At 38.2% G+C, this 20,660-nt stretch overlaps 1 protein-coding gene across 25 annotated transcripts in view; it reads right to left on the bottom strand.

Annotated features, from left to right (window-relative positions):
• Positions 1 to 20,660, bottom strand: part of KLHL32 (kelch like family member 32) — a 242,671-nt gene that overhangs the window by 124,955 nt on the left and 97,056 nt on the right. For 6 of the 25 annotated variants that reach the window (NR_136579.2, NM_001286254.3, NM_001323263.2 and 3 more), the window contains exon 1: positions 5,534 to 5,599. The exons of 15 other annotated variants lie outside the window; for them this stretch is intronic. Coding sequence is in view for 2 of the 10 variants with exons in the window: in NM_001323263.2 (NP_001310192.1) it covers positions 5,534 to 5,545 (12 nt within the window). In the remaining 8 variants the exon portion in view is untranslated. Of the gene's footprint in view, positions 1 to 5,533; positions 5,600 to 16,251; positions 16,339 to 20,660 lie in introns of those variants that run through there. 4 more of the 25 variants (XM_047418150.1, XM_047418149.1, XM_005266813.6 and 1 more) reach the window with 4 other exon arrangements.

Here is a 20,660-nt window from a genome sequence, read left to right as displayed (position 1 = left end):
TCTGATGGGAGGGGCTGCCACCAAGATCTCTGACATGCCCTGGGGACATTTTCCCCATGGTCTTGGCAATTAACATTCTGCTCCTTGTTACTTATGCAAATTTCTGCAGGCAGCTTGAACGTCTCCCCAGAAAATGGGTTTTCCTTTTCTATTGCATCATCAGGCTGCAAATTTTCCAAACTTTTATGCTCTCCTTCCCTTTTAAACATAGGTTCCAATTTCACATCATCTCTCTCACATTCAGAGTTCCACAGGTCTCTAGGGCAGGGGCAAAATGCCGACAGTCTCTTTGCTAAAGCATAGCAATAGTGACCTTTGCTCCAGTTCCCAAGAAGTTCCTCATTTCCATCTGAGACCACCTTAGCCTGGACTTCACTGTCTACATCATATCAGCATTTTGGTAAAGTCCATTCAACAAGTCTCTAGGGAGCTTCAAACTTTCCCACATCTTCCTGTCTTCTTCTGAGCCCTCCAAACTGTTCCAACCTCTGCCTGTTATCCAAAGTTGCTTCCATATTTTCAAGTATCTTTATAGCAGTACCCTACTCTCTGCAGTATCAATTTCCTGTACTGGTCCATTCTCACACTGCAATAAATACCCAAGACTGGGTGATTTATAAAGAAAGGAGGTTTAATTGACTCACAGTTGCACATGGCTAGGGAGGCCTCAGGAAACTTACAATCATGGCAGAAGGCAAGGGGCAAGCAAGGACCTTCTTCAGAAGGCAGCAGGGGAGAGAAAAAGGGAGTGAAGGAAAAAGAGCCCCATATAAAACCATCAGATCTCCTGAGAACTCCCTCACTACAATGAGAACACCATGGGGGAAACCACCGCCATGATTCAATCACCTCCCACCAGGTCCTTCCCCTGACAAATGGGGATTATGGGGATTAAAATTCGAGATGAGATTTGGGTGGGGACACAGAGCCTAACCATATCACAACCTTTGCTCTCATACTAAGCTATTCAGCAGAGTAGGAGGCAGGTGAGAATGGGGTTGGGAATTTGACCTTTGAAGTCCAACAGATAAGGATTTGAGACTTGGCTGCATCCTTTATGAGTTACATGACCTTAGCTGGGTTACTTTACTTCCCTAAGCCTCAGTTTTCATGAACACAAAATGAAGATACCTGCCTCAGAGAACTGTTGCATGGACAGTGACAAAATGCAGATTATCTGGCTTATAGTAGACAATCAGAATTTGTCAAATGGGTCAATGAATTCTTTTTCTCTAAACTTCAGTAGTAGTGCCTATGAAGTCATATTTAAATTCTGTGTACTGTTTCACTATTGTAGTATTCTTGAAACATTTTTTCACTGTGCAAACACCATCACCATACTGTTGAGTAGTAGCCCTAATATTTACATATTTATAAATTATAAATTATATAGACATACTATATACCAATTTGTTATATATACTATAAAACAAACCCAAAGCAGAAATAAAGTTGCAAATAATAATTTACAGATACGAAAAAAGAAACTTTTTTTTTTTTTTTTGAGACGGAGTCTCGCTCTGTCACCCAGGTTGGAGTGCAGTGGCGCGATTTCGGCTCACTGCAAGCTCCGCCTCCCGGGTTCACGCCATTCTCCTGCCTCAGCCTCTCCGAGTAGCTGCGACTACAGGCGCCCACCACAACGCCCGGCTAATTTTTTGTATTTTTAGTAGAGACGGGGTTTCACCGTGGTCTTGATCTCCTGACCTCGTGATCCGCCCGCCACGGCCTCCCAAAGTGGTGGGGTTACAAGCGTGAGCCACGGCGCCCGGCCAAAAAAGAAACATATACAGAGAGAAAATTTCCTTCCCCTGCACCCTCAGGGGTGCACAAACCCCTACTTCAGAGACCACTGCACTTATGTTAATTTTTCAGTTTAAACTTTAGGACAACAAATTTATAAAATGAGCATTTATCCCTTTTGACAAATATTGTTTGTGGCAACAGGGGAAATAACCCAATATAATAAGTCACAGCAAGTTGCAAAGTTGGCTTGACTCCCATAATACGCTGTTTTCTTCCTTTGCCTTAGTAGGTGATAATCATTTCAGCTCTGGGAACACTGAAAAATTAATATAAATTCTGATTGAAGGTATTTGTGGAACTTATATCAAAAGATTGAATAACTTTTTAATTAATACTTAGGCTGTTTACTAAATGTTATTTTATCCTTTCATGGAATCAAAATGCCTTAACTGGGTATTTCATTGTTAGACCTGACACGTGTACATGTGTGTATGTGTGTGTCTGTGTATGTATGTGGTGGGGAGAGCAGGGTGACTTCAGGGACTTTCTTAGTAAAAACAAAAACACCACCTAGCATTGGTGTAACTATTTTTATTCCTTTCTAAGCACTGCCACTTATATTATATCAAGTGATTTTTTAAATGGAATAACAAAACAGGTACCATTCTCTCCATTTTACAACAACGAAACCAAGGCACAAAAACTGAAGTGAGTTTCCTCATATAATGTGGCAACTTAACAATAGAGAGGACATTCTAATAAAAAGTTATTTAACACTAGCTCAGTGCACTTTTCTGATACCAAACTGCTGAAATACACTGGATATTAAAATCTGCATCTTCTATGATGTGCAACTTTACACATATTTTTCTCATAAAGTACAAGGAATGTTATTTCTCACAAGAAAATGTACAATTATTTTAAGAGCATTTACTATATTTCACTTATGTAAAGGCTAGGAGGGGTAAGTATCCTTTTCTCACAAAATTACATGTCATGACATTTCTGCCATTTAAGATTACAAAACTCACTGACCAAACACCATTTAGAGGCACAGAGATCTCTATTATTAACAAGAAAAAGATGAAATTTTGAAAAAGGGCTCTTTTGGACTTAGAGTGCTGAGGAAGGTGCAGTGAAAAATAACCACAACCAAAACAATAACAATAATAATAAAGTTTTCTACATCAAACATGTCAAATCCTTCTGACTCTCTTTTGATATTCTGCTTTGAAATAAAGGAACCCAATTACTTCTTATATGAGAACCCTCATATATAGTTTAATTGCTCTTCAAATCTGAAACCTATGACTGAATTACGTTTCTCAACATTTTCAGGTGGCACTATGAGACCAGGATTACAGAAATGATAGTAAGCAAAGCCACATCTGAAAATTCACAAAAATTATGAAAAATTCACTGCAGCTAGCAACTGTTAAGATGCCTGTATTAGTTTCCTTGCTACTGTGATAGTACCACAAACTTCGTGGTTTAAAACAACACAAATCTATTTTATAGTTCTGGAAGTCAAAAGCCCAAAATGCGTCTCACTGGGCTAAAATCAAGGTGTCAGCAGGGCTGTATTCCTTCTGGAGGCTTTAGGAAGAACTTGTTTCCTTGTCTTTTCCAGCTTACAGAAGTCACTTGTTTCATGGTCTCCTCCTTCAAAGCCAACAATCACATCACTCCAACCTCTGCTTCTGTCCTGACTCCTCTGACTGTGACTCTGCTGACTCTTTCTTCTATCTTTAGGACTTTGTGGTTACATTGGGTCCAGCTACATAATCCAGGATAGTATTGCCACCTCAAGGTCCATCACTTCATTATTACAGGCTCCAGAAATTAGGGCATGGACATCTTTGGCCAGGGGGTCTATTATTTTGCCTACCATAATGCTCAATAGCTAATGGCAGACATGAACAGGGAGTACTCAGTTCCACACAGCTTGGTATAATGGAAAATGGAGGGGGTTTGGAGGCATGTTTGCCTAGGCTAGGGTTTAGACTCTAGCATTCAGCAGTTACGTGATTGATTACAAATTAATTCAATGTTTAGCAAACTTTAATTCATCATCTGTAAAGTTGTTGTAATATCTACATTTAAGGATTATTGGGGGGATTAAACAAAGTAACAAATGTGAATACAACTAGGACTGAGGTTAGCAAACAAATAAAGAAAGATTTTTAATAAACGCCAGTTTACCTTCCTTTCCATGTTTAGGTTTTGCAGCTTGAATAACAATCATTATTTCCTTAGTAAGAAGTGTATTCATTTTCTGGCCTATCCTTGCATCATTAATATCCTTTTCTACTCAGAAGTTTTAAATACTTTTATGTCAGCATGTCCATAAGCAGGAGATAAGTTTGTAATGACTCGGATGCTTAATTTTAATTCAAGATAAATGATCACTCTGAATATGTATCTATTTTTCACACTACAGTGAATTGGGGTTTTAGATGAGTTTATAGAGTTTCTAAAGGTTGTGACAAGAAATTCAACAATTTTATAATTTAATAGTTTTCTTTGCTCTTTTAAAGAGACTTTTCTCATTCATTATGCAAAAAGGCACAAATTTCCTTTTATTATAGCTTTGAGATTCACTCCCACCACACACATACTTGTGATTAGTAATTAATAATTGTCATCACTATTAGAAAACTTGTCTCATTCCAACCATTAGGGCATAATTCACTGGCTTCTCTAGGTGATTTATCACAAAGCTTCTTAAAAGTGACTTTTGCCTAAAATATGAAGATATGGTTCCTATTATTTTCAGCAACCACCTCTTGCAGGATTCAAAGAAGAACATGTCTCCCATTCTTAATAAACAGCAGTTTTGTTAAATGACCTCAAGTGCTAACCTAGTAGAATTTAACGTGAACTTGGCTAGACAAGAGATAAATGACCTAGCAATGATATGATGGCATACATGATAATTCCCTCATGTCCAAACGCTGTCCCTCCTCCCACTACCACTCATGATAAAATAATGGTCCACTGGGAAGCTCTCATTTACCATCTAGAAATAGAACCTTCTTCTGAGCAGGCTGTTAGGTATAGCAGGTGTACGTGTTAAAGATCAGAAAATGCTTCCACACATCCACTGGTATTTGCTTTCCTCTGCTGGACAATCTCCAGTAAAGAATAGTAAACTTGGTACTTCAAATTTCTAATATGCTGTCCAAAATACTCAGTGAAACTAATGATTGTTTTACTACTTAGGAAAAAAAGAAAGCCTAATAAGATACATAAAGGAATGTGCCTTTTATTCTTCTAGGTACTTTTTTATATTCAAAAGTTCTTGATTTCCCAAAAGCCACTATTTCCTTCCCTAGGTAGCAAGATTTGAGGTCATTTGAGGATATTTGTTTTTCAACATTAGGACCAAAATACAACACACAGCAGAATATTAGCAAGTATTTTTTTAGGAAAACACTTTTGTGGTTCCTCACTCATACACACACAAAATTGAGGAAACATGAGGGATAAATTCTTCAATATCTAAAATAACAAGATGATATATAATCAGAAATAGTTAAGGGGAACAATGCACTATATAGGATTCAATTTATAAACTTTTGTAATAATTTAAATGATGCTGATAAATGTTTTAAAAAATATTTGCTACACTTATTATCTGCAAAGTCCAGGGCTGGGTATTCAGCTATGATCTGGGGGAGAGGGAGAGACAGACATATGAACAAGTCCTGACTCTTCTAATACAGCAACCCTGCTCCACCAGCCCTACCAGAGCCAAGCACCACTGCTGCTGCAACTGCTGTCTTACCTCTATACCCATTCTGCTGATCCATTGCTTCTATCACTTTCCACTGATTGATAATCTGCAGTGAACCAGGAGCATGGCATAGAGTGTCCTATAAATATTTTTCTGTATGCTCACTTTTTTTTTTTTTTTTTTTTTTTTTGTCAAATCAGTGCCTGATCCTTTTCCTTACCCTAAGTCTAGGGAAAAACCCAGTAGCTTGTTTGGGCCATTTCAGTTTGTTTATTCTGCCTTCCTCTGTGTGAGGCTAAACAGAAGTCTTCATAGTTCTCCAGGCTGCAGGCTGGAGACATAGAAGCCTCTGTGTGGGGCCCTCTCACTGACAATGCCCCTCAGTCCCCAGAGCTGGTATCAAAGCTTTTTCAAGGGGAATGCAAATTACCTCCCTTCTTGACCTTAATTATAGTGTCTCAAAAACATATAATCTCCACATACATTTTTTAAGACACTAGAATTAAGATTAAGAAGACCCTCACGTGCTTTTTAAACTGCTCTTAAATATGAAACAGTCTGATGCTTTAGTAGGTATGAGCATGAAATACAGGCAGTCTTTCCTTCTACTGTCCAGCAAGATCACATTTCACTTCCATCAAATAGGGAATTCAAAGTAGTAAACAAATTATGTTCAAAACAGTAAACTAGCGTATGTAACAACAACAACAAAGCATGTACAAATCCTCCCTTTCACAATATACAAAGCAAAGGAACATCTCGCATGCATTTTTCCAGTCCATACACAACTTTCCAAACATTTCAAAGTACATTTATACAAGTGCTCTATTGCAAATTAAAACAGAAGCAACAGCATGGCCAGTAAATCCTAAAGTGTCGATAGTGAAGAGAGTTTTAGGTGCCCAGAGAGCCAATGTGTTTAAAAGATTAAACATTTACATTTGAAAAGCAAAGCCTTGCGAAAAATTATTTCAAAATAAAAGAAACATTTAAATTTAAAATATAGATGAAATTGGTAAAAATTGTCTCTGCTGAATAGCCTTAAAAATACTGTTTCTTAACAGAATTTTGGTTTATAAACCAAAATTCCACTCTATTGTGCTTGAAAACTAGATACCATCACCAATACTAGTAAACCATCAGTTTAACATCTAGTATGTTTCAGACCCTTGGTTTGCAACTGACATTTATCTTATTTAATTTCTACATTAGCCCCATTAAGTGACAACTCACCTGCTTTTACAATTGGAGAAGAATATAAAACTTAATGATATAAAGCCACTTGCCCAAGGATATACACAGCCAGAAAGTATGTGAACAGAGATGTTATAAATTAGACTGGTCTCAGTCTAAAACTATACTGCCCTTCTAATTAATTATCCTATAAAAATGCGGCTGGGGAGCCAAGACGGCCGGCTAAGCACAGCCAGGAGGAACATCTCCCATCAAGAGACAGGGACATAGGGAAGAATGAAATACTCTCTGAGCAGATCTTTGGAGAGAAGGCAATGAGTGGATGGAAGGAAGACATAGAGGCCAGGCTGGAGGGAAAGGATGCTAGGAACCCTGCACAGGGCTGCTGAGCAAAGGGACTCATTCCTGGGCTCCAGCGTCTCCTGGGGAAGGAGTGAGATGAACAGCCAAGGTATGGCCTGCTCTCACCTTGGATCTCCAGAATCCTATCAGCAGGAGACCCCATGACCTCCACAAACACTTACCCTGGCAGGGAGAGCTGCCAGGAGAGGTGGCAGGAGCAGGACTCCAGCCAGTGCACAGCTCAGAGAGTTTGGCATGGGAGTGGCTGCAATGGAGCACAGCCAGGGACACCTACGCTCCTCTAGGAGACATTAGCCTAGGGGTGACTGTCATACCTGGACACAGCAGGGTGGTCTTCCTTGTGAGATGGGGCTAGTCTGATCTGAGCACTACCCTGTCTTCTGGCCTCTCCTAGGGCTCCAGACTGGTTGCACCCACTTGCAGTGCAGCCTCAGATGCCCAAACAGGGTGCTTCCTGGAAAACTTTACCATAGCTCCTTTGCTGGCAGACTGCACCTGACTGTCAGAGAGTTCCAGTGCACTGGAACCGGCTGAAACACACAGGGCTGCCACGGTCTTCCCCCACCACAACCTCCCTCTGCTGGTGCTAGCACACCCTGACACCCAACCCCATGCCACCACCACTGGCACAAATGCCAGACAACCTGTTACCACAGTGCCCTGACCCTGTCATGTCACCACCACCACAACCACCTGCATGAGGAGGTGCAGCAGGAATGCCACTGCCCTGCTTCCACTGGTCCCACATCCCAGGCAATTCACATACACACTGAGCATTGCTGCAATCGCTGGCATGTGCAAGCGAGCACAAATTCCACTGCCAACACCTTGATGAAGTAATTTAGTGGGCAGCCCTCATCGGGGTGTTGTGGACAGCAGACTGGGAACACTTTGGCCCCTCCAGTGCAGCAGGTTCCTAACCTTTAGGGGCCAGAGAACAAAGCTAGGGCCCCACTGCCAGCCCCCCAGAGTTAGAGCACATAGTCCAGGAGTGCTGAGCTGAGCCTTGGCCTCATAAAATCTTCCACAAATGAGGCCAGTTGACTGTACCTACCTTATAGCACAATCAAACTCCCAAGGGTATCAAAGATGAAAAAGCAAAAAACCTCATCCAAAGGACAGCAACCTGAAGACTGAAGAAACATCAGCCCATACACATGAGAAAGAACCAGTGCAAGAACTGTGGCAACTCAGAAAACCAGAGGGTCTTCCTACCTTCAACCAGCCACGCTAGTTTGTCAGCAATGGTTCTTAACCAGGCTGAAATGGCTCAAATGACACATAGAATTCAAAATATGGATAGGAACAAAGATCATCCATATTCAAGAGAAAATCAAAACCCAATCCAAGAGATATAAGAAGTACAATAAAATGAAACAGGAGCGAAAAGATGAAATGGCCACTTTAAGAAATGATCTGGTAAAGCTGAAAAGCTCACTTTAAGGATTACATAATACAATCCTAAGTACTAACGGCAGAAATGATGAAGCCAAAGAAAGAGTCTCAGAACTCGAAGACTACCTCTCCAAAATATTTCAGTCAGACAAAAATAAATAAAAATGAGTAAAAAAGAATGAGCAAAACCTCCAAGAAATATGGGATAATGTAAAGAGACCAAATCTACAATTCATTAGCATCCCTAAAAGAGAGAGAGAAAAAAACAAGCAACTTAGAAAACATATTTAAAGATATCTTTCATGAAAATTTCCCCAACCTTGCTAAAGAGGCCAACACTAAAATTTGGGAAATGTGGAGAACCCCTGTGAGACACTATATGAGATGACCATCCCCAAGACACATAGTCCTCAGATTCCATAAGGTAGATATGAAAGAAAAACTCTTAAAAGCATCTAGAGAGAAGGGGTTGGTCACCTAAAAAGAGATCACCATCAAGCTAACAGTGGACCTTTCACCAGAAACCCTATAAGCAGAAGAGTTTGGGGGCCTATATTCAGCATTCTTAAAGAAAAAAAATCCAACAAAGAATGTCATACCTAACCAAACTAAGTTTCATAAGCAAAGGAGAAATAAGATCCTTTTCAGACAAGCAAATGGTACAGGAATTCATTACCACAAGATCTGCCTTACAAGAAGTCCTTAAAAGAGTGCTAACCATGGAAACAAAGACCATTACTGGTCACCACAAAAACACATTTAAGTATATAGAGCAACTACACAATCAAGTCTGCATAGTAACCAGCTAACAACACGATGACAGGATCAAACCCACACATATCAATATTAACCTTAAATGTAAACAGTATAAATGCCCAAATAAAAGGCACAGAATGTCAACTTGGATAAAGAAGCAAGACCCAACTGTATGCTCGCTTCAAGAGGCCCATCTCACATGCAATAACCCCGATAGGCTCAAAGTAAAGAAATGGAGAAAAATCTGCCAAGCAAACAGAAAACAGAAAAGAGCAGAGCTTTCTATTCTAGTATCAGGCAAAAAAGACTATAAATCAACAACAACAATTTAAAAAGACAAAGAAGAGCATTACCTAATGGTGAAGGACTCACTCAATGAAAAGACCTAACTATCCTAAATATGTATGCACCTAATAGAAGGGCACCCAGCTTCATAAAGCAAGTTCTTACAGACCTATGAAGAGACCTAGATAACTGAACAATAATAATGAGAGGCTTAAACACTCCACTGATAGTATTAGATCATTGAGGGAAAAAACTAACAAAGATATTCAGGACCTATACTCAGCACTTGACCAAATGGAACTAACAGACATCTACTGAACTTGATGCCCCAAAACAAGAGCATATACATTCTTCTCTTCTGTACATACTATACATTCTTCTCTTCTGCACATACCACATACTCTAAAATCAAGCACACATTTAGCCAGAAAACAATCCTCAGAAAATTAAAAAAAATAAAAAACTGAAAATATACCAACCACATTCTCAGAGCACAGTCTGATAGAAAAGACATTAATACTAAGAAAATCTCTCAAAACCACACAATTATATGGAAATTAAACAATCTGTTACAGAATGACTTGGGTAAACAGTGAAATTAAGGCATAAATCAAGAAATTATTTGAAACTAATGAGAATCAATTCACCACATGCCAGAATCTCTGGGACACAGCTAAAGCAGACTGAAGAAGAATGTTTATAGTAATAAATGCCCACATCAAAAAGTTAGAAATATCTCAAATTAACAACCTAATATCACACCTAGAAGAAATAGGAAAAGAACAGCAACCAACTCCCAAAGCTAGCAGAAGACAAGAAATAACCAAAATCAGAGCTGAATCGAATGAAATTGAGATGTGAAAAACCATACAAAAGTTCAACAAATTCAGAAGTTTGCTTTTTGAAAGAATAAATAAGAGAGATAGACCACTACCTAGATTAATAAAGAAAAAAAGAGAGAAGATCTAAAAAAACACAAACAGAAATGACAAAGGAGACATTACCACTGACCCCACAGATATGCAAAATACCCTCAGAGACTATTATGAACACCTCTAGGCACAAAAACTAGAAAACCTAGAGGAAATGAATAAATTCCTAGAAACATACAATCTTCCAAGACTGAACCAGGAAGAAATTGAAATCCTGAACAGACAAAATGAGTTCCAAAATTAAATCAGTAATAAAAAGCCTACCAACCAGAAAAAGCCCAGGACCAGACAGATTCACAGTCAAATTCTACCAGGTGTACAAAAAAGTGCTGATACCATTCCCACTAAAACTATTCAAAAACATTGGGGAGGATGTACTCTTCCCTAAATCATTCTATGAGAGCAGCATCATCCTGATACCAAAACCTAGCAGACCCATAACAAAAAAAAAAGAAAGAAAACTTCAGGCCAATAGCCTTGATGAACATAGATGCAAAAATCCACAACAAAATACTAATAAACCAGACCCAGCAGCACATCAAAAAGCTAATGCACTACGATCAAATAGGCTTTTTCCTTGGGAAGCAAGGTTGGTTCACCATATGCAAATCAATTATTGTGACTCATCACATAAACAAAACTAAAACCAAAACCTTATGATTCTCCTAATAGATGCAGAAAAGGCTTTTGATAAAATTAAATATCCCTTCATGTTAAAAAAAACTCAATAAACTAGGCACTGAAGGAACATATCCCAAAATAATAACAGCCATCTACAACAAACCCTCAGCAAACATACTAAATAGGCAAACGCTGGAAGCATTCCCCTTGAGAACGGGAACAAGACAAGAATGCCCACTCTCACCACTCCTATTCAACACAGCACTGGAAGTCCTAGCCAGAACAATCAGGAAATAGAAAGAAATGAAAGGCATCCAAATAGGAAGACAGGAATCAAACTATCCCTGTTTGCTGATGATGTGACTATATACTTAGAAAACCTCACATAGCCTCTGCCCAAAAGTTCTGACATCTGATAAACAACCTCAGCAAAGCTTCAGAATACAAAATCAGTGTACAAAAATCAGTAGCATTTCTATACACCAACAACGTCCAAGCTGAAAGCCAAATCAAGAACTCAGTCACATTCACGATGGCCATAAAAAGAATAAAATACCTGGAATATAACCAACCAGGGAGGTGAAAGATCTCTACAAGATTTACAAAACACTGCTCAAAGAAATCAGAGATAATACAAACAAATGGAAAAACATTCCATACTCATGAATAGGAAGAATCAATATTGTTAAATGGCCATACTTCCCAAAGCAACATATAAATTCAGTGCTATTCCTATAAAACAACCAATAGCATTCTTCACAGAATTAGAAATAACTATTTTAAAATTCATACAGAACCAAAAGAGAGCTTGAATACTTAAAGAAAAAAGAACAAAGCAGGAAGCCTCACATTAACTAACTTCAAACTATACTACCAGACTACAGTAACCAAAACAGCATGATATTGGTACAAAAGCAGAGACATAGACCAACGGAACAGAATAGAGAACCAGAAATAAAGCCACATACCTACAACCATCTGATCTTTGTTAAAGTCAACAAAAACAAGCAATGGGAAAAAGACTCCCTATTCAATCAATGGTGCTGGTATAACTAGCTAGCCATATGCAGAACTTTGAAACTAGACCCCTTCCTTACAGTATATACAAAAAATCAACTCAAGATGGATTAAAGCTAAATGCAAAACCTAAAACTCTAAAAATCCTGGAAGATAATCTAGGAAATACCATTTCAGACATAGGCCCTGGCAGACATTTCATGACAAAGATGCCGAAAGCAATTGCAACAAAACCAAAAATTTATAAATGACTAATTAAACTAAATAGCTTCTGCATAGCAAAAGAAACTATCAACAGAGTAAACAGGCACTATAGAGAATGGGAGAAAATTTTTATAAACTATATATCCAACAAAGGTCTACTATCCAGAATCTATAGGGAACTTAAATTAACAAGCAAAAAACAAATAACCCCATTAAAAAGTGGGAAAAGGACATGAACAGACACTTTCTAAAAGAAGACATACATACTGCTAACAAGCATATGAAAAAATGTTCATCATCATTAATCATTTGAGAAATGGAAATCAAAACCATGATGAGGTACCATCTTATACCAGTCAGAATGGCTATTATTAAAAAGTCAGAAAATAACAGATGCTGGCAAGGTTACAGAGAAAAGGGAATACTTATACACTGCTGGTAGGAATGTAAATTAGTTTAGCCATTGTGGACAGAACTTTGGCGATTTCTCAAAGAACTTAGAACTACCATTTGACCCGCAATCACATTATTGGGTACATACCCAAAGGAATATAGGAATATATATATTTTCTACCATAAAGACACATGCATGTTCAGTGCAGCATTATTTACGATAGCAAAGACATGAAATCAACCTAAATGCCCATTAACAGTAGACTAAATAAAGGAAATGTAGTACATATTCACCATGGAATATGTACTACATATGTACTATTCTTTTTTGTGTAACCATAAAAATGAAAGAAATCATGTCCTTTGCAGAAACATGGATGGAGCTGGAGGTCACTACTGTAAGTGAACTAACGCAGGAACAGAAAACCAAATACTGCGTGATCTCACTTATAAGTGGGAGCTAAACACTGAGTACACATGGACACAAAGAAGGGAACAATAGACAGTGGGGCCTACTTGAGAGTGGAGGGTTGGAGGAGGGTGAGGATAAAAATACACCTATAGCGTACTACGCTTAGGACCTGAGTAATGAAATAATCTGTACACCAAACTCCTATGACGCACAATTTACCTATATAACAAACCTGCACATGTACCCTGACCCTAAAAGTGCAAAAAATAATAAATAAACAAAAATATGGGTTCTTCATAGAGTTTGAAAAATATTTGTTTTTGCTCTTAAGCTATATTCGTTATATTTTTAAATTATGCTTTTTTCTTGAAATATTTTAAAGTAAAATTATTAGTCAACTAGGGATTCCCAGAAGCAAGTCAAGGAATTGGTAGAATGAGTAAAGCAAATTGCTTTCTCTAATGTGAGTGGGCTTCATCCAACTGGTTGAAGACCTGGAGAGAATAAAAGGCTAAGTGAAAAAAGAATTCCTTCTCTCTGCCGGGCTGTCTTTGAGCAGGAACATTGTTCTTATCCTACCTTTGGACTTATACTCAGACTGGAACTTACACCAACACCTCTCCTAGTTCAGGCCTTCAGACTTGGACTAGAAGCATACAACCAGCTCTCCTGGGTTTCCAGCTTACCAACTGTAGATCCAAGGACTTCTCAGGTTCCATAATCATGTAAGCCAGTTCTTTACAGTAGAGTTATCTATCTATCTATCTATTCCTCTTAGTTATGTTTCTTTGGAGAACTCACACTCAATCAGTGTCTGATTTCTCTCTTTTGTAACAGCATCAGTATAACGCTCTTCTTAGGCATATACATACGTCTAGATGAACGGCAACAACCTTTAACAAAAGAGCCAGGCAGATCATCTTCAGAGTGCTACTCTCCATCTAAAAATATCTGCTTTCATTATCTTAGAATCACTCAACTTTGACACTAAGACCTAATAGACCATGACTATTATCTGTTCTTCAAAGGAATACATTTTGTTTTTACAACCTAATAGTTCAGTATTGGGCAATATAGGGAGACCCTGTCTCTACAAAAATATAAGAAAAATTAGCCAAGTGTGGTGGCACATGCCTGTGGTCTCAACTACTCGTGAGGCTGAGGTGTGAGGATCACTCAGGTCTGGGAGATTGAGGCTTTGGTGAGCCATGATTGTGCCACTGCACTTCAGTCTGAGTGATAAAGACCCTGTCTCAAACAAACAAACAAACAAAAAAACAAACCAAAACAAAACACAAAACCTTCATTGGAAGGCCACCTTTCTCGAAAACAATAAAACAATTATGAGACAGTTGTGAGGTACCTACAAAATTTTTTTAATTTAAAAATTTAATTAATAAAATGTATGTTTTAGACCAGTTTTAGGTTCACCAGTAAAACTGAGTAGAAAGTATAGAGAGTTCCACATAGCTCCTTCCCCCTCCACAAGCACAGCCTACTCCATCAACATGCCCCACCAGTATGGTAAAATTGCTGAACCAACATTTACACATCATTATTCACCAAATCCAAAGTTTACGTTAGGGTTCACTCCTGGTGTTGTATATTCTATGGGTTTTTATAAATGTATGATTATTTGTATCTACCATTACAGTATCATATAGAATAGTTTCACTGCTTTAAAAATCCCCTGTGCTCCATCTATTATCCCTCCTTCTCTCAAGTCTCTGCCAAACACTGACCTTTTATTGTCTCCATAGTTTTGCCTTTTCCAGAATGTCATATAGTTGGATTCATAGAATAGATAGTCTTTTTAGACTGGCTTCATTCACTTTGTAATATAAATTCAAGTTTCACCCATGCATTTTCATGGCTTGATAGCTCATTTCTTTTTATTACAGACTAATATTCCATTTTATGAATATAGCATAGTTTACCTATTCACCTACTGAGTAACATCTTCGTTGCTTCACATTTTGGAAATTATGTGCAGTATTTTTTAGAGAATGTTTTTGAGTAATTAGAATAAAAATTAAAATGTACCCCAAAGTAATAGTGACAGGAATTATTAGAAAGATACCCATTCTTGCAAGTTTTATTTGATGTCTAGAAAATGGCACAAGTATTTTCAATAGAAATTATAATCATATTTATTACCTCACAAGGAAATCATAAATTTTATCTAAAAATGAAATCATGTTTGTCTACATTGTATTGTATTTCTATCAGTGCTCCTCAAAGTAGTCTGTCTGTGAACTGCTCCTTAAACATCTGGGACAAGATCAGAAATCCGGTTACCAGCACACAAATGAACTTACTACATGCTTCCTCAAGAAAGACTTCCTGTCAAAAAATGCCCATTGAACTGACACAGTGTGTAACAATGTAGTTCATTTACATCCTGTAGCTCATCAGCATGCATAGTTAACAGGCACTTTGCAGACTGGCACTTATCCATGGACCACACTTTGAGTAGCATCAATTAATAGTTTTATATAACACCCTTAGAGTTAGCCTTCCTTTCCCAACTCTCTAATAGTACCACTTTGTTGAATTTTCCTGAGTCCTCCTCAGTCTTCTGCAGAATATGTCAACCTCCTGAAACCCTTTCCTTTTCTGGCTTTGATTAAAATGTACACTTTGCTTATGTTTTTATCTTTGACTTTTCCTTCTTTGTCCCATTGGCCATCTTTGCATTCTTTTTCTACCACCCAAGTAAAAGCATCCTTTAGGTTCTGATCACAGACATTCTTTTCCTGCTCTCTTTCCCTCCCCATGTAGTCTCTATTCCTGAAGTGTCAACAATCATCTCTATGCAGAAGCTGTAGTGGTGATGTTTTAGGAGCCCTTGCAACATCCGGCACAAACTTTTTTGCATGTAGTAGACGCTCGGTAAATGTCTATGAAATTGAGATAATGGTGAATTACGTGCATGTGGTTTATCTGTTCTTACCACATTAAGAACCATAATAAAGAAGCACATTTATTCAGGAAGTACCAATAGCTACTGTAATAAAAATATCAAATAAGATAAAATATTAATACTAACTAGAATCTAAAAAATTAAAATTCAAAGTTTGAAAAACATTTAAAATAAAAATATCAGAGGCAAATTATAGCTTCACAGAGAAAAATAAAGTTGTCATCAGAAAAAGAAAATAGCAGGGAAAAAATGGTCCTAATACCTGGATTTTTACCTTTTTATACTGTCAGGAATTGTTCACTTCAAAATTCCATCAAATATGGTGAAAACAGATGAGTACAATCTGGAAATAAATTATTTTATTGATGTTTTTGATATCAAAATTCAAACAAAAACGGAAATTAACTCTTTGTTGTTGTTGTTGTTGAGACAGAGTCTTACTCTGTCAATCAGGCTGGAGTGCTGTGGCACAATCATGCCTCACTGCAGCCTCGACTTCCCAGGCTCAAATGACCCTCCCACCTTAGCCTCCCAAGGAGCGAGGACTACAGGCACGTGTGACCATGCCCAGCTAATTTTCTAATTTTTTGTAGAGATGGGGTGTCCCTATGTCGCATAGGCTGGTCTTGAACTCCTGGGCTCAAATGATCCTTCTGCCTCAGCCTCCTAAAGTGTTGAGATTACAGGCATGAGTATCCATGCCCAAGGGAAATATACTTTTTGAAAGCAATATACATTTGTATCACTTCCCCACAGCCTTGTTAATCTGCCTATTAGATGCCTCCTTAAATTTTTTTTCTTCTTAGGATCTTCATAATATCTTCCAAGGTAATAAATTCTTTAGCCATATTCTTCAATTTCTAACTAACGTTGTTCTAGTTATTAATGATTTCTATAAACAGATTTTATAAAATTAAGTGTAAGCCAAAGTATTCATTTGATGGAAAATAACGATCAGTTTACCATGTAATGCATAATTCAAATACTGTAAGAATGATACTCTGGTGCCTCTGTGATCAACACATGAAATACAGGTGGCAGAGAAAGAAAAGAACTTAACATGTGCAAATATGCAAGAATTAGCAATGCTGTTGTTTTTGGCATAAACATCCACTTATCACAGGACTCAGTAGTACTTGCTTGGCCTCAAGCAAAGTAATTAATCACAGGGCAGGATAGTGTAAAATTGACTAAGGAAAATATTGAACATCATGATATTTAATTTTAGTGACATTCATGCACCAATTAGACAACTGCAGGGTAATGCTTTGCTATTTAGGACAGTAGTAAATATTTATATGCTTACAGTAACCATAAAAAAGCTAAACTAAAAATAATCACTATATGTATTAAAGGACTTGGGGTTATTTTACTATTATTTTTATTAATTCTTTTTCTGAAAAAGAGATTTAGTGTATGTTGTTCCAAGTTAAAATTTAATTTTTGAGAACTGTTTTAATCAGAATGTGACAATATTCCTGCAGATCAAACGAGCAGATTCTAATTACAGCATCGAGCCCAGGGACTGCTTAGTATGTGCCCAGAAGAAAGCTGTGGCGTGGATGACTGAATGAAAGACTGAAACTGACTACTAAAAGGCTTTTAATATTCATATAGTATTTGACAGTTTACAAAGTATATTTATTTTTAATTTTAGTTTTTAAGCAAAAGGATAATTTACTGGAAGTATACTGGAGGTTTACAGACTCAATGGAGGTTGAGGAGCAGGCTAGGAATAAGGCAGAAGGCTACAGTCTTGGGGGCTGGAAGCAAAAATTACTGTCAATGTTATGCTGCCATTTATCCTTTATGTAATAAACACCACGTGTCACTACATGTGATTTCTGAGAAGCAGAAATGGTAATGAAGAGTCTACAAAGCAACCAAATAGGAAACAACATGAATCCAACATTGATTCCATTTACATATTTTAAAATCAGCAGTACTGTTACCTTCAAGCTGTTTTTGGTTGGTTGGTTTGTACGTTTTTTATGGTTTGTATGGTTGTTTGTATGTTTTGTAGTCTCAGCTACTTGAGAGGCTTAAGCAGGAGGATCTCTTGTATGGTTTTTTTTGTTGTTGTTGGCATGACTGTTCATGTATTTTGTGCACTCCTGTGCAATGGTGTAATCATGGCTCACTACAGCCTCCACCTGGGCTCAAGCGATCCTCCTGCTAAGCCTCTCAAGAAACTGAGACTGCAGGTGCATGCCACTACACCCAGCTAATTTTTTTTTATAGAGACAGGGTCTCACTATGCTGTCCAAGCTGGTCTCAAACTCCTGAGCTCAGGCAATTCTCCCCATTGGGCCTTCCAAAGGGCTGGGATTACATTTACGAGCCACCATGCCTGGCCACCTTCAAGTCTTTATAGGACACTTTCTGAGGAAATAAGACAAACTAATGTCTTAACCAATGCATACATATGTGGGTGTTTTAGGGGATAAATTCTGGAGAGGGGTTTGGGAGGGCCCACCCACATGACACAGCAAGAAACTATTCCAATCAGATAGCAACAGGGAGAATGAAGATGGTCTATGTGGGCCAGGCACTGTGGGTTCTAGGGTACAAACATCAGAAAGGAAAAGACACTGGCTCCAGCCTCAAGGAGGACAGACATCTTCATACACATAGCCTTCCTCATTTGCTTGCTCAATGGTACAGCTTCTTTCCAAATGTCTTGTGCCTGCTCTTTTCCCAACACTCTCCAGACCTCAAGCCTTTGGTCAGCATGAACATCCCTTTGCTCCCATGCTCCCTGACCCTCAACCACACTCACTCTTGTCTTTCCTCCCCATCGCCATCCATCACAATGTCCTGTTTACCTACCTCCCAACCCATTCCTCAAACTTACCCTCTTCTCTCCAGCCATCTGCTCCTTGCTTACTTCAGGCCATCATCAGCTCTTACTTAACCACTTTTCATGCCCCTAATGTGAATTATTAAAATTTGGGCTTCCTGTTCTTTATTTTTAAAATAGAGATGACAGTAATACCCATCTTACAAGTTTCTCTAGAGGATTAAATGAGTTTGATACACATAAAACATTTAGAATAGTTGCCTGAGAACAGTAAGTGCTCAATTAATTATTATTTAATATTAATTAGTTATTATTGTTATTGCTTGAGAATGTTGAAGAGAGGAAAAGGGATAAAAATAAGGTTAGAGCCCAAAATACCACGCCAAAACTGGTATACCAATTACATTATATTGCAGTCATTTGGTCACTTGTTTCTAACTCCTGCCAGACTACGAATTCATTCAGTGTCTAGAAAATGGTAGGTATGTAACAAATACTTATTTATTGAATTTTTAAAAACCTATTTATTTCTAATTACATATTATACTCATTTATAGTCTTTTATGTAATTTTAATCAAATAGCAACTAGAAAGTAGGATTATAAAATACATGAAACACAGATTGTTGTTGTTGTTGTTGTTTTAATCATGGGATTTATGCCCTTTTCTCAATTCTAAAAATTACATAGGCAGGAGCACGCCCAGCCTCTAACGGAAAAAGATGCTCAAATATTTAATTTTCCAAAATGTCATATTTGAATCACTTTACCAACACATATACGAAGTTATGTTAGACAGTCAAGACATCTGTTTCCCTGGCCAGAAACTGTAGGCGTTCATGGAGATTTAAGCTGGAGATAGCAAATGTTAGACAACAGCTTCCAGAACCTACAGAGTGGCCCGCAGCCCAGGGCTGCCCACGCTGGGCCCTGTAACTTATGTGTACCCACTGTCAGAGGGGCTTCCAAGGAAGCAGGGAGAAGAGGCTGACTTGTCCCCACCACTCGAGGCCCCTCATTTCTCTTGCTATCTCTGTTTCAATACTTCCTCACTTAATAGTGTTCAACAGTAGTTTGGTGGACTTCACTAGTGTTTAGTTGGTCACAATCTCTCTGAGATGTTACTGGTAAGGGGGCTGCCACACATAGTACATAATCTTTAATTCCTGGAAGGTGACAAGCTGAAAGTATTAAGATTTCAAAAAAGGGGAACCTTACATATGAACTTAACGCGGTGGCAGAGGGTGATCAGGATAGGGCTTCATGAGAGACATCATATTTGTTGGTTGTGAGAAACCTTGGAAGATGGACAGGGTAGACTAAGAGCTGAACAGGAAGTTACAGGTGGAAAGAATGGTCACTAGCAAAGCTGAGAAGTGCAAAGGCCCTGAGGTGGAAAGAATGTGTTTGGAGAATAGTGTGGCTACAACACTGGATAAACAGACAAGGGAACAAAGGGGAGGGTGAATGATGATGAGACAGTGTGAAGCCACTCCTGGAGCCTGGTAGGCAGGAAGTGAGGGGCTCAGGAATACCTTAGCAGGAAGGGAAAGTTAGTCATGGAGTCATCTGCACAATGGTTTGAAAAAGAACAGCCAGAGGAGGAGAAAAGTTAAATGGCTACTGGAATGCTCTAAGCAAGAGGGAAGGTGGTGACAGAGTCAGGAAATGAAAAGTTGGGAAAGGATGAAATTAAAAAGTTATTCTGACCCATCAAAAAGTGAGTGAACCTGCAGTAGCTGAGCCTAACAATTAACTGAACTTCCTTCACCGTAACACCTAGGCAGAACATGACCAGGAATTTCAAGTTAGTCCAAGAAGTGAAACAGCTCACATTTATTGAGTGTCAGGTACTATGCTTGGAGCTTTATATACCATATCTCA

Source organism: Homo sapiens, chromosome 6 (genome assembly GCF_000001405.40).
Source record: "Homo sapiens chromosome 6, GRCh38.p14 Primary Assembly".
Taxonomy (NCBI): domain Eukaryota; kingdom Metazoa; phylum Chordata; class Mammalia; order Primates; family Hominidae; genus Homo; species Homo sapiens.
The sequence above is the reverse complement of the archived record's forward strand: the minus strand, read 5'-3'. Positions and strand labels throughout refer to the sequence as shown.